Source organism: Homo sapiens, chromosome 4, assembly GCF_000001405.40.
Source record: "Homo sapiens chromosome 4, GRCh38.p14 Primary Assembly".
Lineage (NCBI taxonomy): Eukaryota > Metazoa > Chordata > Mammalia > Primates > Hominidae > Homo > Homo sapiens.
Genome location: NC_000004.12, coordinates 127,879,851 through 127,899,521, shown reverse-complemented (window position 1 = coordinate 127,899,521; position 19,671 = coordinate 127,879,851). Strand labels below are relative to the sequence as shown.

General features: G+C 36.9%; 1 protein-coding gene and 1 pseudogene across 14 annotated transcripts, besides 2 other annotated features; both read right to left on the bottom strand.

Annotated features, from left to right (window-relative positions):
• On the bottom strand, positions 298 to 18,629 carry PLK4 (polo like kinase 4). 14 transcript variants are annotated; one of them, NM_001441371.1, is made up of 17 exons: positions 18,358 to 18,629; positions 17,596 to 17,691; positions 16,165 to 16,260; positions 15,969 to 16,083; positions 13,761 to 13,814; positions 12,794 to 13,139; positions 12,026 to 12,126; positions 9,286 to 9,656; positions 8,326 to 8,430; positions 7,841 to 7,943; positions 7,008 to 7,157; positions 6,104 to 6,237; positions 5,918 to 6,009; positions 5,641 to 5,788; positions 4,429 to 4,569; positions 2,615 to 2,721; positions 298 to 1,083 (listed from the first exon to the last, which is right to left on the bottom strand). In NM_001441371.1, exons 1-17 carry the CDS (start codon positions 18,385 to 18,387, stop codon positions 981 to 983), a joined length of 2,292 nt encoding a protein of 763 aa, NP_001428300.1. In that variant the 5' UTR covers positions 18,388 to 18,629; the 3' UTR covers positions 298 to 980. The 14 variants fall into 14 exon arrangements, with proteins under 14 accessions (NP_001428300.1, NP_001428295.1, NP_055079.3 ...); NM_001441366.1 differs by having other exon boundaries at positions 12,896 to 13,814; positions 17,596 to 17,754; NM_014264.5 differs by having other exon boundaries at positions 12,794 to 13,814.
• RNU6-583P (RNA, U6 small nuclear 583, pseudogene) lies at positions 7,440 to 7,531 on the bottom strand (annotated as a pseudogene).
• Positions 14,451 to 14,620: an enhancer, noted in NCBI's record as "experimental_73815 CRE fragment used in MPRA reporter constructs". NCBI's record gives its function as "activates a minimal promoter by MPRAs in K562 erythroleukemia cells, with activity observed for both the introgressed and non-introgressed 4:128806142 variant alleles {active_cell/tissue: K562}" and the evidence as "EXISTENCE:reporter gene assay evidence [ECO:0000049][PMID:34662402]".
• Positions 18,306 to 18,545: an enhancer, noted in NCBI's record as "active region_21887". NCBI's record gives its function as "activates an Ori minimal core promoter by ATAC-STARR-seq in GM12878 lymphoblastoid cells {active_cell/tissue: GM12878}" and the evidence as "EXISTENCE:reporter gene assay evidence [ECO:0000049][PMID:35858748]".

The following is a 19,671-nucleotide window of genomic DNA, read 5'->3' as shown; positions in this document are numbered from 1 at the left end:
ATCGTGCCATTGCACTCCAGCCTGGGCGACAGAGTGAGACTCTGTCTCAAAAAAAAAAAAACAAACCCACAAAAACACATGGACCTAGGGAGGGGAACATCACACACTGGGGCCTGTGGGGGATGGGAGGTTAGGGGAGGGATAACATTACGAGAAATACCTAATGTAGGTGACCGGTTGATGGGTGCAGCAAACTACCATGGCACATGTATACCTATGTAACAAAACTGCATGTTCTGCACATGTAACCCAGAACTTAATGTATAATTTAAAAAAATTCATTAAAATATACCAAGATTTTCAGATAATAGAGAAACAATGTATTTAACATTTGCAAAATTAATATTTAAAATTTAATTGGCTCCTCAACAGGCAACAAAATTTAAAAAGTGAGTTTACTGGTAAGTTATTTAAAAATAAGTATTTAATTAAATGAATCAAAAGATAATGTAACTTATCACTATATTTATTTTTTTATAAAATGCATTTGCAAAAATGTTTCATCAGACACTGGTGTTACAAAAATAAATATAAAACAAATATACATGTTTACATATGTTACTTATAACATAAATACACATTATTTACATCTTCAAAAATTCCAAAATTCCAGCAGGTTTTGTCCATGATTCTCAACATGTCTGAGACGCAGGGAAAACAATAAAAGCACAAATAAACTACACATCATTTACATTTTTGCTTTTAAAAGATTGTTCAATACAAATATATGAACATAGTAAGTTCGGGGGTTATGGTCTAAGAGCAAAGTCAGGTGTTCTATTTTATATCCACTATATTTAGTAAGTGACTCAAGTTTCATTCTGCTTTGTTCTCTCAGAATACATCCTTTACATTATAGGTTAAAATTCTTTCATAGAAAGGCTTTCTGAAGACTTTATGTTAAATTAAAAAAAATCACTTTACTTGAAAGTCAACAAAAAAGTTATTTATTAAACTTATATGTCTGAAAGGAGTTTTAATCAATGAAAATTAGGAGTCGGATTAGAAAACATCAAAAGGATGGAAGACAGACACTGTAATTTCTGTTTGATGTAGTCTGGTAATTTTTCATTTTCTCCATACCTAAGTGAAGCAAAAGAAAAAAAGACAAAATCGTAACTGAATTACTTGGTTCTCATGAGAGTCCCAAAAAGCACATTATATTTTTCAGTAATTCTTCAATAACAAGAGGCACCTCAGAAAAATTATAACAATTATTTATTAGATACCTAAATCAAGTGAAGCATACAGTTTCTTTTCTTTTAAAACAGACCATTTTCTAAACACATTTAAGTAACAGAAGGAAAATTAGATAAACTTGAACTGGCTTCGTAATTTCAAAAGCAAGCCAAAAATCTGGATTCCTCATTAAATTTAAAAGGCCCCGGACAGGCGCGGTGGTTAATGCCTGTAATCCCAGCACTTTGGGAGGCCAAGGGGGGTGGATTACGAGGTCAGGTGTTTGAGACCAGCCTGGCCAATATGTTGAAACCCTGTCTCTACTAAAAATACAAAATTAGCCAGGTGTGGTGGCGTATGCCTGTAATCTCAGCTACTCAGGAGGCTGAGGCAGGAGAACTGCTTGAACCCAGGAGGCAGAAGTTGCAGTGAGCCAAGTCGCACCACTAACTCGAGCCTGGGCAACAGAGCGAGACTCTGTCTCAAAAAAAAAAAAAAAAAAAAAAAAAAAAAAAAAAGCCCTAATTCTACAGAAAAATACCAAGCTAAACACATTATGAATATATTTCTATTTAAATGTTAACATTTTCCAAATGACCATAGCAAATAAAATGTCAACATGTATCCTGGGAACAAGGGTTTTACCCACTTTGCATCTGCATCCTTCCACTTTCTGGAGCACCTCAAAGAGCTTTTAACAAAGCCTCTCACTTGAAACATAGTTATTTAAGTGATGGCACTGCATTATCTAAATTTAACACAAAAATGCAGTTGGTAGGTATCTACAGATTATATTTGTCCCAAGTACTTCCATTACAATAAGCACTTCTCATAAAAGAGAACGCCTGCATTGGCATCGTCAGTACCCTACTTTTAGTAAGTTCTGATTTAAATGAGGAAAGCAAATAACTCCTTGTTTTTCATATTGCCAGATTCTTTATTTTTGGCTTGGTGCCTGACACATATTTTCATATAGAATGAATATACACATTCAAAAAAGTCTTTCAAACATTAATCACGTTACATTAGATTGGGGATATAGCCTTTCATTTGGGAAAAATAAGCAGGTTATATCTTAAAGATTTCTTTTTTCTGTTCTTTTAAGTAAATAGGTTTGGTATATTATTTGAACCTAGAATTAGGAGTCCCTTACTTCTGAAAAAGGCCATCGAGTTACACTATGGAACAGTAAGGCTACAAGGAACCCAACCTCTTAGAGTGGATTATTTATACCAATTGCCCTGAGTTAATACAGATAATCATAAAATATGCATTAATGACTACATGAATTGCTAAGAATAATTAACAGTTTAAAGAATCACACGATCATTGTCAAAATGAAAGAAGTATCTTTATTAAATCATCCATTTCAACATATAGAGAAAGAGAAATTATAGCAAAGGGCTGAATCTCGACCAGTATTTTAAGAACTTACCTAGTTGTTTGACCATTTGGTGAGGTATAACTGATAGAAGACACTCCTGCCTGCACAACCAACTGGGACCCATCATTAAACTGAACCCACACAGCTCCACTAGTTAACTAGAAAAATAATAAGCATGGGTAAGAACAGGCACAGAAAAAAAAAAAAACAGCAGTAGTAGCACACAAAATTACTATACAGTAGAGGGTTTGTGGTTCTGTATTAATATTTAACATATTTAACAGGTTTTCCACAGTTAAAAAAAAAACTCTCTAAGTGACTACAAATTTGGGGCTACGATGGCAGAGCACTGAGAATATTCATGTCTTTTTCAGATTATTCCTTTAATAGCTAAGGTATTACAATATTAAAATTATTAGAAAGTGAATCCTGTTTCCCATTAATTTCCATTAGGATTTCTAAGTTTTTTGGTTGTTGGTTTTTTTCCCCCACAAGAAATATTTAGTATTTCTTAACAAGAAGAGATTTAGGGAATAAAAGCAACATTTTCTTTGTCCTTAAGCCACAAGAATTTCTTTCCTGGCCTGAGAATATTACATTTTAGCCTCTGAAACTTCTTCCTTTAGTCATTAATAGTCACAATGTGTCACTCAAAATGGAGAAGTGCATAGTACATGGACGCCAAATCAAACACACCTAGGCTTACATCTAGACTCTGCCAACTTAAGAGTACAGTGTAGGATTGTGCAAGTTAATCTACCATTATGAAGCATAATTTTACTATCTATAAAAGGAGATACAACTTTACTAGGTTATTTTGGGGGATAAACTAGACAAAGTATGTGAAAAACATGGTAGGTACCACAAAGCAGGTGCTCAACAAATGTTACCTACCCCCATAAAGTACTAGGTTGCATTTACTTCACTGTTAAGTAAAAGTACATGTGTCAGGCTCAGAAGTCTCTCCAAGTTTCAAGATTTTAGATAATATACACATATAGGTTCACAACTACATAAAATTCTATAAGTTTGAAACTCAATATTGACTTCACTTTTTAAAAAAGATGGGGTCTTGCTTTGTTGCCCAGGCTGGCCTCAAACTCCTGGACTCAAATGACCCTCCCACCTCAGATTCTTGAGTAACTGGGACTATAGGCACGTGACATCACACCTGGCTTTCACATGACTTTTAATGGAAAAATCCTTTTCTTCTTTTGCCAGATGAAAGTTACTCTACTGGCCGGGGGCAGTGGCTCACGCCTGTAATCTCAGCACTTTGGGAGGCTGAGGCAGGCAGATCACAAGGTCAGGGGATTGAGACCATCCTGGCTAACATGGTGAAACCCCGTCTCTACTAAAAATAGAAAAAATTAGCCCGGCTTGGCAGTGGGCGCCTGTAGTCCCAGCTACTCGGGAGGCTGAGGCAGGAGAATGGTGTCAACCCAGGAGGCGGAGCTTGCAGTGTGAGACTTTGTCTCAAAAAAAAAAAAAAAAAAAAAAAAAAAAGAAAGTTACTCTACTAATATTGATTACAAATAATTTCCAAAATTTAAAACGTCCCAGATATCACACTCTACTCTTCACAATTAGTAATTATCATGACCTCTACTTTAAAAACAAATGGCAAAAGTAGGTCACCCAAGCCTAGCAGGCAACCTCTTATCAGCAATGTCTGGAGTCTTCCAACTGAATACAAATTTAAGAAGTTAAAATTTTTAATGATATAACCAATGTTAAAAGGTACAAAAACTTCCTTGTAAAAAGATATCATTACAATAATTTGTATTTTTTGGTAATTGTCTTATCAGTGTGAAAATGAAAAGAAATTCATACTGAGAAAATGCACTGTACTAGAAACTTCTCACCTGTGTAGCCCAACCAACATTTTTCACAAAAACAGATTTCAAAAGTTGTGCTGATTTAGGAAGACAATCTTTTAGACTATTAGAAGAGATGTCTGTTCCAGAAGCTGTAGTTGTAAGACCAAGTCCTTCATTTGTAACCATCTACAAAGAATAAAGGACAGGAAGATATTATTCCTCAGCATTTTTATAAGCCACATTCAGCAAAAGCAGACAATTATGAGATTTTTCATTAGCTTAATTTTTTTAAAAACAAACATTTTTTAACGAAAATATAACCACATTATTGGAAATTAGAAAAATACAGAAAAGAACCCCCCACCCTCCTGCACAATTGCTGTTTTCATTTTGGTGGATTTCTTTCATCTTTTTATCCCATGGCATGTTCTTTTTGTGTATGTGGGTGAGTACACACAAATATACACACCTATTTCTTTAATGTTGCATTTTTCTACACTGCTATATAATCTTCATCGCCATGTTCATTAAATATATAATAAATTTAATCATGAGTCTATCATGAGCATTTAGGCAGTTAATGATATTTTACTAGTAAAAATAAAACAACTAGCCAGGCGTGGTGGCTCACGCCTGTAATCCCAGCACTTTGGGAGGCCGAGGCAGGTGGATCACAAGTTCAGGAGATTGAGACCATCCTGGCTAACATGGTGAAACCCCGTCTCTACTGAAAATACAAAAAAAATTAGCCAGGCATGGTGGCGGTCGCCTGTAGTCCCAGCTACTCGGGAGGCTGAGGCAGAAGAATGGCGTGAACCCAGGAGGTGGAGCTTGCAGTGAGCCGAGATCGTGCCACTGCACTCCAGCCTGGGTGACTCCGTCTCAAAAAAACAAAAAAAAAAACTACATATGTATATGTTAATACACTTAGCTTTCCCCAGAGGGCTGAGATTAGGGCTCATTGAGGTAACATTTAAACAGAGACTTGAAAAATAAGACTTACACATATAAAGTTAAGTGGTTGGGGAAAAGAGTTCCAGGTCAAGTGAACAGCATGTGAAAAGGCCCTTTGACTTGTTTAAAGAACTGAAAGAAGGCCTTTGACGCTCAAACATAAATAGTATGGGATAAAGTGGCTCAGGATGAGGCTGGAAAAGTACGTAGATGATAGTAAAGCCACAATAAACTATTTTACAAGAAGGGCATCAGGCAATCATTGAAAGGTTTAAAGTACAGAAGTGACATATATTTACTTACAGAGGGATTAAGGATTGGTGCCTGTGTTGGAGAAGCAGCACTATGCATGACCATTCTGTTGAAAGATGCTCTCTCTCTCGTTGGGTAATTTGAATCCACAGAAGGAGGAGGTGATAAGGCCTTAGGTGAACTAGTACTACCAGGTTTTCTGAAGGGGAAAAGTCCAAATATATTCCCTTGAAGCTTTCAATTTACAGAAAACTAAAGAATGTTTATAATATAAACATCAAACTTTTAAAACATTTTAGCCATATGTTTAAAATTTTCAGACATTTACCTTCCTATGATTATTGGGAAAAAGGGAGCACTCCTAGTTTTCCTTTCCTCTTCTGAAATTATGGATTCCAGTGCTAAACAAATACGATGACCCTATTTCAAAAGAAGAGTGCTTCTGTCATTGTTTCACCTATGTCATTTGCAATCATTATTAATTGGTATGAAAAACCTACAATTAGGTATGTACCTCATTAGCATGGTCCATATACATTTTTATCTCCTCTTTCAAGCTATTAACTTCACTTTCACTTTTTAAAGTGTAAGACTTCCCTGTCTTTTCAATCACCTGAATGAAATCTTCTGTTTTGTGTATTTTTACCCCTAAAAAAAAAAAATCAGAAAACTGTTCTCTTATCCTTTTTAAAAATATTCCTAGATTTATATTTATTATCATACCAGTATATAATGGCTCCTGGATCAAGGTATCATTTTTATTCATTTATTGACTATTAATAAAATGAGACTATCAAAGCATTCAATAAATATGGATCATCCATTTTTTTCCCAACATATATCTGGTTTAAGCCTGATACTTTTACATTTTAAAAAATCACTATATTCATACAAAAACATAATTGAAGGATAGCTATAATTATATGTGTACTGTGTGATATGAATGCTTTGCGTCCCTTAAAGGAGGTTTATAGATTAAAAAATAGTTCATCTTTATAGAATAGATTTAGAAAATAAGAACATTCATCTTTACAGAATAGATTTAGACTCAACCCTATCCTTTTTGCTACATTTATAATTCTCATAATTTGGTATATGTCCATTTAAGGTTTCTAATAAGAAATAGGACATTGCGCATTTCATGTGATTTTTATACCATCAGCCTAGACGTAGTTAAACTGGAGCTAAGTAGAAAAAGAGGACTAATATACATATTATAGGATAAATTGTTTAAAGGAAGGCTAGATAAATTTTGATTAATATGATTTGACATGTATACTCCGCTGTGCAATTTATATGTATAGTTATATACATACACATCTTTAAAACTGACTGTGTTGAATTTTAAAAACCCACATATACGTAACTACTAAATTACAAACTAAAGGAACAAATTACCATTTCCAAATGGTACTTACCATCATAAAACCAAACCTCAAAATCAGCACCAGGAGAATTCTCCATCAAAATGCATTTAGCATATCTTGTAAAATAAGTGATTTTGGGAGATTTAGATCTTACAAGCTGTACAAACCTGGAAGCATATTGATATTTTCGCCAGTATTTTTCTAAGGAAAAAAAATACTTAACATTAGGGAAGAAAGTGTTGACCTGACATACAGTTTTATCTATTTATTGTGATTTCTAATAGGGTTACATTAGACAGGTTTTCTTATTCTTTTCTAAGAGTTACCTCAATGAAGGCTTACTATTCAGTACTTATGTCCATAGTCCATAATATCCAGAAACCAAACTGGGAGTCAAATTTGGTTAACTATAATTATAAATAATCATTTATGTAGCAGCACTGATTTCAAAGCTCAAAAGCCACATACATGGTGAATTATTTTTTAAATGCAGAATGCTTCACAAATTTGTGAGTCACAGGGGCCATGTTCTCTGTAACATTCCAACTTTAGTATATGTGCTCTGAAGCAAGCACAATGTTGAATTTTTTTTAACATAACTATAGCCACATTCTAAACAAGTATACAAATTACATTTGTGAGACATATGACTAATGTTCTAGAGTTAGTTTTTAAATAGAATATAGTACCATTATAACACAGAATATTAATAATAAACATTGCATTAAAGGCATACAACTCTCACCAGAAACAAAGTACAAGAATATGATATGACCTAAAGTTTGACTGAAGCTATTTATAATTTATTATATCTATATATAGAGTTTATACGTATATACATATAAATCTACTATCAAAATTTATTCCCTGGTAAATTCACATACCTGGTAAATTGTCAAAGCTGTACCTACTGATGTTGTCAGTAGGTGAGGGTGGTCTATCAGCAAGAGGAAAACCTCTACCACCATTTGGATAATAAATAGTGATCTGCCAAAAGATTTTTTTAAAATTCTAATTACATGCCATTAAGTTCCAGTACTATATCTTGCTAAAACGTATACAAAGTGTTTAAATGTAACATTAAATATTATTTTATAGAAAAATGTTAAATATTCTGTAAAAGTAATTTTTTTGCTTTTTAACTTAAACCAAAAGTTTAGATTTTCTTACTAGATATAATTATTTTTAACACTGCACCAATTTATTTAAATATGTTTAATATGCTATTTCAATTTTTGAATTCCAGAGACACTATCATACTGGCAAACTGATTTTAAAAAAACTTACATCATTGTAAAATGAATTAGAATGCTAAACGTGCTTAAACGATAATTTGAAGTTGCAAGGTAATAAAGTAACTACACATTACCGTATTTCCATCACTAGATATCTGAAGAACTTCTTTCACATATTCTTGAGATGCATACTCCTTTACAAGCTCCACACACACCTCCTCTGAATCAAGTATGCTCACCTAAAAAAAAAAAAAACCCAAAATCAGTAATAATTCTTTTGTTTACTAGAACAGCTCTGACATACATAATACTTAGGAGTACTTAACCATGGCAGAAACAAATATTGAAGTCAAAATCAAAGCTGCTTCACTACAACAGTCCAGATCAGAGGTATATTTGAGCACAACTGTGAACCATATGGTGCAAAGTTAAGAATGTATAATGAAGTGTGAAGTGATAATCAATGAGCAGAAAGCAAACAGAAGGTAGAGTGGAGAATAAGGACTTTGAAAAGATAATAGCAAGCCAAACAAAGGCAAGGATGAAATGGGAAGTAAAATGGGAACAAACAACAGGATAAAGATAGAATTAAAAAAACACACACCATTCTCAATTCACATACAATAATTTTTAAACTCTAAACTTAAATGTGTATATGCCTTTTCTTTAGTTCCAGAAGCTAAAAAAATAAAAGTTATATTTTCCAGTTTTTTAAAATTTGAGATGGGATTAAATTTACAAACAATAAAAATAGAAGCAAAGGATAATATTAGCTCACTGATTGGAATTGTGAACAAAATAATCTTTAACCAGCATATAGCCAGTATTATTTTAAAATGTTTTTCATTCAAATCTACTTTAAATTAATAATTTAAAATTCAAAACTTACCAGTATCATGTCACTATAATTAAGAAGATAGAGGGAAATAAGAGCTGTTTTTCCATAAACACCCAGTCTCTTTTCTCTTTAATAAAGTTGATCATGTATACACCCCAAAGTAAAAGGACATTACAGAGGACTAAAAAATATGTTCTCAAGAATTGTATTCTCAAGTAAAATGTTATTTAGTAACTTAAGAAGATAACAGACATACCACAGCCTTTTTGGTTTTCTGTCTGATTGGTTTTAACCTGTGAGCAACCAACGGAGATGTAATGCTTCTTAATGTACGATTCTGATAACCCCATGGTGGCTCCATACCCCTAGTCTTGCTCTGTTCAGAAAGAGGATCTGAGCCAAAAACACATTCTTGTTGGATTATCTCAGGTTTACTGTGAAGTGCAGTCATATATTTCATGGTATTTTGCTGTTTTACAGAATGTGCATTATCAGAAGCATCAGAGTTCTTTTTGACTTTTGTATCAGTCCAGGCATTTTTTGATGTGTCCTTCTGCAAATCTGGATGGCCCTGGAAGTCCCGGTTTGGGCTGATGCTGTCATATTCAGTAGTTTTTCTTAAATGAGCTACAATATACATAGAATGAAGCAATTTAGTAAATAACTAAAAACACAAGTCGACACAAAATAACGTCACTCTGATTGTAATAGCATTTTTTGAACAAAAGAATTCTAGTTACAAAAAACAAAACAATAAGAGCTCATAATTTTCTAACAAATAAGCAGTTTAAGACATGACTTTGAAAGAACATTTTAAACCAGATCGTGAAGAAATACCTTTAGTATTCCTAAGACTAAGACACAAAAGATATTAACATAAAATTAATTTTTCAATTAAGGCAAAAACTAGTCACTATATGGTCACCTATTAATCCTAAAGCATGCAACTGCCAATGTGCCAACAAAAGCAGATTTGAGTTCCCAAGTAATCATTCTACATGAGAAAAATATATAAACTTACTCTCTTTAAGCTAAGAACTGTCTAGCCCATCTTTACTTAGAAATACCTGCAATTAATGAAAATATGCAACTAAAAGCAAAAACACTATATGAACAGCTTTAACATTAATATTTAATATTACACATGTACTTGCACCAGCATTTTTTAAAAAAGTAATTAAGTTTACCAATTTTTATTTTGTATGGTTTTAAAGTTCACATACAGAACAGTATCTTTTACAGGCTTTAAATGATCAGATTATATAAAACTTGGTAAGGCAATTTTTCAATGCTAAACTAAAAATTTGAATTATATTTTTTTTCTTAAATGACTTTTTAGTGCTTTCCCCCCACTCTCCTTATGACAGAAAGTATTTTGTATCAAATAATATACTGAAAAATTGCAGGAACACTACTGGATTATTATAAACAAGGTTATTTCTCCATCTCAGACAAGTCTGTGTTACTAAATATAAGTATCTGTAAACACAACAGATGTGCAAAATTAAGTATGTGGCAGTTTTATAGTTTAAAAAACAAACCTGAATTATCATCTCTAATTACTATAAATAAAAAGATTAATTTCCTTTTGGGCTTCTGAGAATAATATACATTAAAAAAAGAGAATAGACTCAAGATAACATACAACTCTCTGATTAAATTACAGCTGTGTTATTTGCTTTTTGTCTATGAGGTAATACGATACTTAGTAAAAAATGATCTCCTCCTCTCCATATGTCTCTTTTATTCTTTTTTCCATCATTATTTCCCAATTCACCTTCTGTGAATCTGTCATGTTCATTAATGAGGAATGTTTAACCTTCAAACTCTGTATTATAAACAACATGACTTGGATGATAGCTGTTTAAAAATATTTAGGTTTTAGTAGCTCTGTACTTTAGTGTGAGGTCCCATTGGTACCCTATACTGTCCTTATCAGCTTCCACTTAAAAATAAGGTCAATCATCTTTTCATTATTTTATGGGCACTGATAGAAGGTGCTGATTATAGAGAGGCTGCAAGAGCAGGGGTTAAGAATAAAGTCTCTGAGCCAGACTACTTATGTTCGAACCCTGGCTCCTCTGCTGAATGGTCACATAGCTTGGGCAAATTAAGCTCTGTGTACCCAGTTTCCTCATCTGTAAGACGGAGATAATAACAGTATCTTCCTCATGTTTTTTTGTGAGAACTTAATATATGTTAAACATTAAGGACAGTGGCTGACTTACAGCAAATATTCAAATATTGTAACAGAGCTTTATTGAGACGTACTGAAAATGCTTTTTTTTTTTTTTTTTTTTTTTTTTTTTTTTTTTGAGACAGTCTAGCTCTATCACCTAGACTGGAGTGCAGTGGCGTGATCTCAGCTCACTGCAACCTCTGTCTCCCTGGTTCAAGCGATTCTTGTGCCTCAGCCATCCGAGTAGGTGGGATTACAGGTGTGTGCCAGCAAACCCAGCTAATTTTTGTATTTTTAGTAGAGACGGGGTTTCACCATGTTGGCCAGGGTGGTCTCGAATGCCTGACCTCAAGTTACCTGCCTGGCTTGGCCTCCCAAAGTACTAGGATTACAGGCATGAGCCACCACGCCTGGCCAATGCTTTTTTTTTTTTTTTTTTTTTGACAGGGTCTCTCTCTCTGTCACACAGGCTGGAGTGCAGTGTGATCATAGCTCACTGCGGCCTTGAACTCCTGAGCTCAGGCAATCCTCCTGCCTCAGCTTCTCAAGTAGCTGGGACTACAGGTACATGCCACCACACTCAACTAATTTTTTATTTTTTGTAGATACAGGGTCTTGCTATGTGCCCAAACTGGTCTTGAACTCCTGCCCTCAAGCAATCCACCAGTCCTGGCCTCACAAGTGTTGGGATTACAGGCATGAGCTACTGCACCAAGCAAGAAAATGATTTTCTTTAAAAATCTCAAATAGAACACTGCAATGCTTGGTAAGTTTCCAAGTAATTAATTCTTGATTAAATACTCCATTAAAAACTCACCATTTATTTGCAGATTCCCAAACCACTGTTGTACGGTTTCAGTCTGAGGTGTCGGGTCTGCAAATGGAAAAGGAGTTTTTCCTGGACAAAGATGATTGGAGCTAAACAAACAAACAAAAAAATCCCATAAACTAATAAAAAATTATCAGGTAACTTTTTAAGGTAAAAATATTAGAGAAGGATTTCTTCTGATTTGAATACCTGAACATTTTAGAATAACTATAGAAAACAATATTGGCATAACTATGCTATCTTTAAAAAGCTAAACTCCCATGCCAAAATGCCCAGGGCACTTTGACAGCATTTCTGTATGGCTACTGCCCTCTTATAATTTAAGCATAAAAATCACAAAATGAACAGAAAAAGAAAAAAAACACACAATACAGTCACTGAAAATTAGTTTTCATATTGGAAGCAGTCAGAATTATGACCACTCAATCTCAGCTTTTCTATCTATGTATACAGTTATTATTAAGTACTTTAGGGGGTAAGGCATGACTAATATATATGATACTTTGCACTGGAGACTCACTCCATATAAAATTAAAAAATGAGGCTAAAAATTTCCAAATATTAAACAATTTTATAAACACATTCATGAACACACACACTCCTGTTAAGACTGTTAACCACAGGTCAAAATCATGACAGTGGTTTTTTTTTTTAGACATTCATTTCCCTGGTATCCCCCCGCTTACATGCAGCTTCATATTTATACTAGTATAATGTTACCAAAAAACAAAATGCCTCTGATAGAATTATTCTTACAGTGCTTGATTGTTATCAGGTCTTTCAAAAGATCCAGAACTACTGGATGTCTTTTCTTTAAAGAAGTTAAAAATGTTGGCATTGTTGTCTGTGGGTGAGTACCTCTCTTCATTTTCACCTCCTCCTGATCTTTTGGACACTGAAAGCATTTCTGCTGAGTGACATCGTTCCATTGTATATGTTTTTGCTTGAGACTGACTATTAGAAGTGCCAGATCTATCAGAGGAATAAGCTCTACGAAGGTATCGAGAATGTGGCCTTTCTTCTGCATCTTGAATTACTCTTCCCCTTCCACTATTACTGGTTTCTTGATTTCCCCACTGAGTATAAAAACTGTTTCCATCTCCTGAAGAAGAAAAATCAGTTGAACTTTTATTCTTTGGAAATACAGTCATTTTATTTGGGAGTGGCTGACCAATCAAAAGTCTTCTTTTGTCAAATAAACTACCACTTATACTGGTACTGGAAGAAGCTGTAATTGCAGTAGAAATTGTGGCATGCCCACTATCAATTGAGTCTTCCACAGTTCCTAAATCTTTACTTTTTGTTGAAGAATTTCGGGACATAAAAGGATGGTCCAATACTGAAGACAGACTTAAACGATCTGCTGGATTTCTACGAAGTAACTGGTGAATAAGGTCCTTGGCCTCTATTGACAAAAAAGATGGCATTTCATAATCTGCCAATACTACTTTATTTAATGTGTTCTTGACTGTGTCAGTGTCGAAGGGTGGTCTCCCGATAAGTAATGTATAAAACATACAGCCCAGGGACCAAACATCAGATTCAAGGCCATGTGCACTTCGAGTGGCAATTTCTGGTGAAATGTAGTTAGGAGTTCCACATAATGTATAGTGCTTTTCATGTGGCATTTTCAGTTGAGTTGCCAGCCCAAAATCAGCAATCTTGATGTTCATATTACGAGTCAGTAGGAGGTTAGAAAGTGTGAGGTCCCGGTGTAGTATACCATGAGAATGAAGATACAACATCCCTGTGATGATCTGGTGCATGAAGTGTCGAGCTGTTAGGATTTTAAAAAAGAGAATTTACAATTTAGAAACTCTGGAAGATTCAGTATCTAGTATTTAGTATACATTATGAAACCCAGGTAAATATTCTAGAGCACTGTAGTAGAACAGTGGCTTGGAGCTTAGATTTACCAGCCACTTCAATTACCAGCAATTATCAGAGTGGTACCAACACACCCCTCTAAAGAGATCATATTAACCTTTTTTTTTTTTTTTTTTTTTGAGACGGAGTCTTGCTGTGTCCCTCAGGCTGGAGTGCAGTGGCGCGATCTCGGCTCACAGCAAGCTCCGCCTCCCGGGTTCATGCCATTCTCCTGCCTCAGCCTCCCGAGTAGCTGGGACTACAGGCGCCCGCCACCGTGCCTGGCTAATTTTTTGTGTTTTTAGTAGAGACAGGGTTTCACTGTGTTAGCCAGGATGGTCTCAATCTCCTGACCTCGTGATCCACCCACCTCGGCCTCCTAAAGGGCTGGGATTTCAGGCTTGAGCCACCGCGCCTGGCCTATCATATTAACCTTTAAGAAAACTAGGCATTCCTTTTAATCTTCGTTATTTCCAACTGATGAGCGTTTTACATGCAGTTAAGAGAAGCCTACTTTTTTTTTAGCAACTGAGAGTCATTAGGGTAACCATAGCAATTAAGAAAAACAATTGCACAAACGATTCATACATATTTTCTAATTGTTAAAAAAAAGAAAAAGCTAAAGTTCCAACGATGTCTCCCAAACTTTCCCAAGTAATCAATTTGTAAGCTTTTTTTTTTAGATGGAGTCTTGATCTGTCACCAGGCTGGAGTGCAGTGGCACAATCTCAGTTCACTGCAATCTCTGCCTCCCGGGTTCAAGCAATTCTCCTGCCTCAGCTTCCTGAGTAGCTGGGATTACAGGAGAGCACCACCACACCGAGCTAATTTTTTTTGTATTTTTAGTAGAGACGGGGTTTCACCATGTCAGCCAGGATGGTCTTGATCTCCTGACCTTGTGATCCATCCACCTCAGCCTCCCAAGTAGCTAGGATGACAGGCATGAGCCACCGTGCCCGGCTAATTTTTGCATTTTTAGTAGAGATGGGGTTTTACCATATTGGCCAGGCTGGTCTCGAACTCCTGACCTCAGGTGATCTACGTGCCTCAGCCCCCCAAGGTGCTGGGATTACAGGCGTGAGCCACTGAGCCCAGCCTAATAAGGCCTTTTTTAATGAAGTATTATAAAAAACTGCAGTAGTCATTATCAAGATGAGTATCAATTTTTTTTCAATTTGTATTATTTCTTTGGAATAAACTTCCAACAATGGAATCTGAGTCAAAGAATATAAATATTTCCGTAACTCTAAATACATATGTCCGAATTGTTTTCCAAATGGCTTATATAGATTCAGATGTACAAGAAGCCTATCAGCAACTACTTCTGTTAGCTTGTCTGTAATCTCAGTTAGCAGAGCAAGATAACTTGAAAACAATCATTTGTGTCAATGTATAGACCTTATTTGGTTCTGCTTTGAACTGCAAAAAATTATGAGAAATTGAGGAAGTCTGAAGCTATATATTTGATAGTAAATAATTATTAGGTGTGATAATGACTTTGTGGCTACGTTTTTAAAGAAGTCTATACTTTGAAATATTTCTAGTTAAAAATATGTCTATAATTTGCTTCAAAATACTTTGGAAAATCAAGGTAGTAAAAACAGTAAAGATGAAATAATATGACCATGAGTCACTAGTTTTGGAAGCTGAGTGTTAAGTTCAGGGGACTCATTATAGCACACTACCTGTATGTTTCATGTTTTCTATAATAAACAGTTTCAATGGCTATTTATGCTTGATTTAGAACTACTTTATAGTCACCAATGACATCCTAAAAAGGTTACTACATTTGAAAAGATACACAGTAAACTGCTACCAATAATTTAATTTAAAATGTGGTTTTAAGGACAGAAGGATAACAAATTTCTTACTTTACTACCGTAATAATTGAATTGTTTTAAGAATTAGCAGCTTGGGATGTAGGAAATCTCCTTTTCTAGCTTAAAGTAATAATTCAAACAGTTTTACTATATATTATAAAATAGCATATTCCTCAAAACTACACTTTAAAATGCAAAACTTTTATCCACCCAAACAAAACAAACAAAAAAAACCACACACCTACCTTCATTTTCTGAGAAGGGTTTCACTCTATTCTTTAGATACCTGTTCATTTCTCCATTATGGCACATTTCTAATACCAGATACACATAATTGCTATCTTCAAAATAGTTATAAAGCTGAAATGTGAAAGGGCATAATAAATTAAAATATACAAAAATTCAGTGTCCTTGGTCACTTCTACAAAATTTATATCTTACCTCCAAGATAGAAGGATGTTTCAATTGGCAATGTATTTTCACCTCATTTTGGACTCTCTGTACCATTCCTGCTTTGTACATGGCTTTCTTATCTATCTAAAAATAACAGGTTTAAATGTTGACAGACTTTCAAATATAAACTGCTTAAAAGTGAACTTTGAAAATAAAGTATACTTTAAAATAGACTGAAGTCCTTTTATACGTCTTTGTGGTCAACCTACTGTTATCTGTTTTCCCCATGCACCTAGCAGAGTGCTCGGCAGAGAGGGTGCTTGGTAAAAGTTTGACCAATTAATTCTAATATCCTATCTCAATTTAAATAATCTAATAGCACAACTAGCCTAACTATTAAGAAAAAAAAATCCCAATTCAGGCAAATTTTAGAGCAAAACCTCCAGTTCTTTTTCTAAGTGGTTTAGATAAATGATTTTTTTTTTTTAAAGGCAGGGTCTCACTGTCACCTAGGCTGGAGTGCAGTGGCATGATCACAGTTCACTGCAGCCTCAACCTCCCAGGCACAATCTATCCTCCCACCTCAGCCTCCTGAGTAGCTGGGACCACAGGCACATGCCACCACGCTTGGCTAATTTTTTTTTTTGAGATGGGAATTTAGCTCTTGTTGCCTGGGCTGGAGTGCAATGGCGCGATCTCAGCTCACCACAACCTCTGCCTCCCGGGTTCAAGCGATTCTCCTGCTCAGCCTTCAGAGTAGCTGGGATTACAGGTGTGCAGCACCACACCCGGCTAATTTGGTATTTTTAGTAGAGATGGGGTTTCTCCATGTTGGTCAGGCTGGTCTTGAACTACCGACCTCAGGTGATCCACCCGCCTCGGCCTCCCAAAGTGCTGGGATTACAGGCGTGAGCCACCGTGCCCAGCAGCAGCTAATTTTTGTATTTTTGGTAGAGAGGAGGTTTCACCATGTTGCACAGTTGTTTTCAAACTCCTGAGCTCAGGTGATCCACCTGCCTCAGCCTCCCAAAGCGTTGAGATTACAGGTGTGAGCCACCCACCCGGCTGACAAATAATTCTTAATTTGCTTATGTTTATGTTACTCCTATTAGGCTGACTTCTAACAATCAAGAATAATATTTTGTATGTTACAGGGAAATACAAAATTATACACAGTGAACTATAAACAAATTATTTGTTAGTTGATTTCTACTCATTACTCCAAGTATGGATAATTACACCACATACGAGGTCTACTGAACATTAATGAAGATAAAACTTACTTAAGCAAGGTCAAGGCTTTCCTAAAATATTTTTAAGTTCAACGGCTGGACTTGGCACTATTGTCTTCTGCCTATGTAAAGTGTTCCTTACACTATAATCAAAGGAAAGGCTAGTAGACAAGGAGTTTCTGACATCTCTGATACCTCTCTAGTTACTTGCAAAGTACAGGAGAGAAGTTGATTAGTTTATTCTTACCATTTTGATTGCAACTTCCAAACCAGTGTGAATGGACTCAGCTCTGTAGACACCAGCAAATGATCCTTTACCAAGCAGATTTCCAACTTTAAAATCCTTAAAAGTTAAAATTAAAGATTATGTGTGATGACTCACAGTAGAAAGGAAGATGGGAAGGGGCTGGAAAAAGAAGATAAAATGGATCGAGTGGGGAATTTGACAAAATTCAAGCGGGTATTACACCTCGATGCAGCAGGTGTCTAGGGTGGAAGGCATGTTGACTCCGTGCGGGGATACCTGCGCTTCCAGGCTGGACTGGAAGCTCAGGGTGATGGTGCACCCTAGTGATCTGGTTCCTCAACCTCAGTGCAGCCTAAGCGCCCTCCTCCCATCTCCAGCCAATCCCCGGGAGCGGAGGGCTCGGTCAGAATCCCGCCGCAGCTCCCGCCGGAGATAACCGCCATCCCCTTGGAGAAGTGGGAGGTAGCCCTGCCCTGCTCTAACGCGGTAGCTCGGGCGGGATTGCTGAAAGAAAGCCGCAGTGCCTCGGGACACTGCCGGGCGGGGAGGGACTCACCTGTCCCGCCTTCCCTACTCTTGTCTCTTGAGGGGCGGGCCGCTCCGCCCCTAAACAGCAGGGGTCTGGGCCGTTGGGACCCTCCCTAAGCACCTCGGTGCCCGCCCCGCAGCCGTTAGCTTCGTTCGCTCCCCTTCCCACAGCGGTCTCGTGTCCTCCCACAATTACTCCCACCCGCCCCGCTGCAGACTGCCGAGTCTTTTCACCTCGATCTTCTCCCCGATGCAGGTCGCCATATTTCCAGGCTCTGGCCTGGGTTCTCCGGATTAGCTTCCTTCACGCAGTCCCTTCGAGGCAGCGCTCCAAGCAGCCAGCCGGCCTTGGCGCCCATCAGGCTCGGCTCTCTAAACCGCCGCTCCAGGCGACGACGCTGAAACCACGGAAAGTTCTCCCTGACACCTTCCGAGGCCTGGGCGGTGCCTCTGGGCTCCCATTTTGAAAATCTCCCGCCGCTTGCCGTCCGAGCTAGGCTGGTGGTGACGTAACGAGATGGATCGCTCCGGATAGGCTGCGCCGGGGCGCGCATGCGCGGCAGACCTTCCTTTGCGGCCGGCCCAGGGTTCTAGACTTCGGGGCCAAGGGCCGGAAGCGCTGCGGAGAGTTTAGTTCGGGCGGGAGGCTGTCTCGGGCCCACTCTCGGAAGAACTTCTGCAAGACGGGTAAAAGAGCAGGCCTTAAAGATGGGACACTTATGGCTGATCGGTTACTTCACGGTCCGAAATACCACTTCTAATTCCGGAAAGGGTTTAAAACTATTTTAAAATGTCAAGCGTTTAAGACTTGACGGAACAGGGCAAAAAACATTACCTTCCTTTAAGGAACACCGTTTACACCACTACCGCTTATTCCGTAGTTTGTTATAACTGTAGTTAATGTGTACGGTACCTTAAGAAAACGAACTCCATTCTTTATTTTGGCAAACTCCTAAGTATTTAATATTATAATGTCATTTGTATAATAATTTACAGTTAGATCTCTCATACACATAATTTGTATGGATCAAAAGAGACCTCTGTAAGTTTGGGATGGTGTTTTGCAGGTGAGAAAAGTGTGATGCTTAAGGAAGGATATTTAACAAACAGAAGTAGCGCACAAACTTAGATCTTCTGTTATTAAGTGAAAGCTCTTTTCCTTGATGTTAGTGTGTATTTCTTTTTCTTTTTCTTTTTTCTTTTGAGATGGAGTCTCGCTCTGTCGCCCAGGCTGGAGTGCAGTGACTCGATCTCGGCTCACTGCAGCCTCCATCTCCTGGGTTCCAGCGATTCTCCTTCCTCAGTCTCCCGGGTAGCTGGGATTTACAGGTACGCGCCACCACGACTGGCTAATTTTTGTATTTTTAGTAGAGACGGGGTTTCACCATGTTGGCCAGGCTGGTCTCGAACTCCTGACCTCAGGTGATCCGCCTGCGTCGGCTTCCCAAAGTGCTAGGAATACAGGCGTGAGCCTCCATGCCCGGCCCATTTTTTTTTTTAAACTTTTTAGTTTCAAATAATTTTAAGCTTACAGAAAAGTTGTAAAAA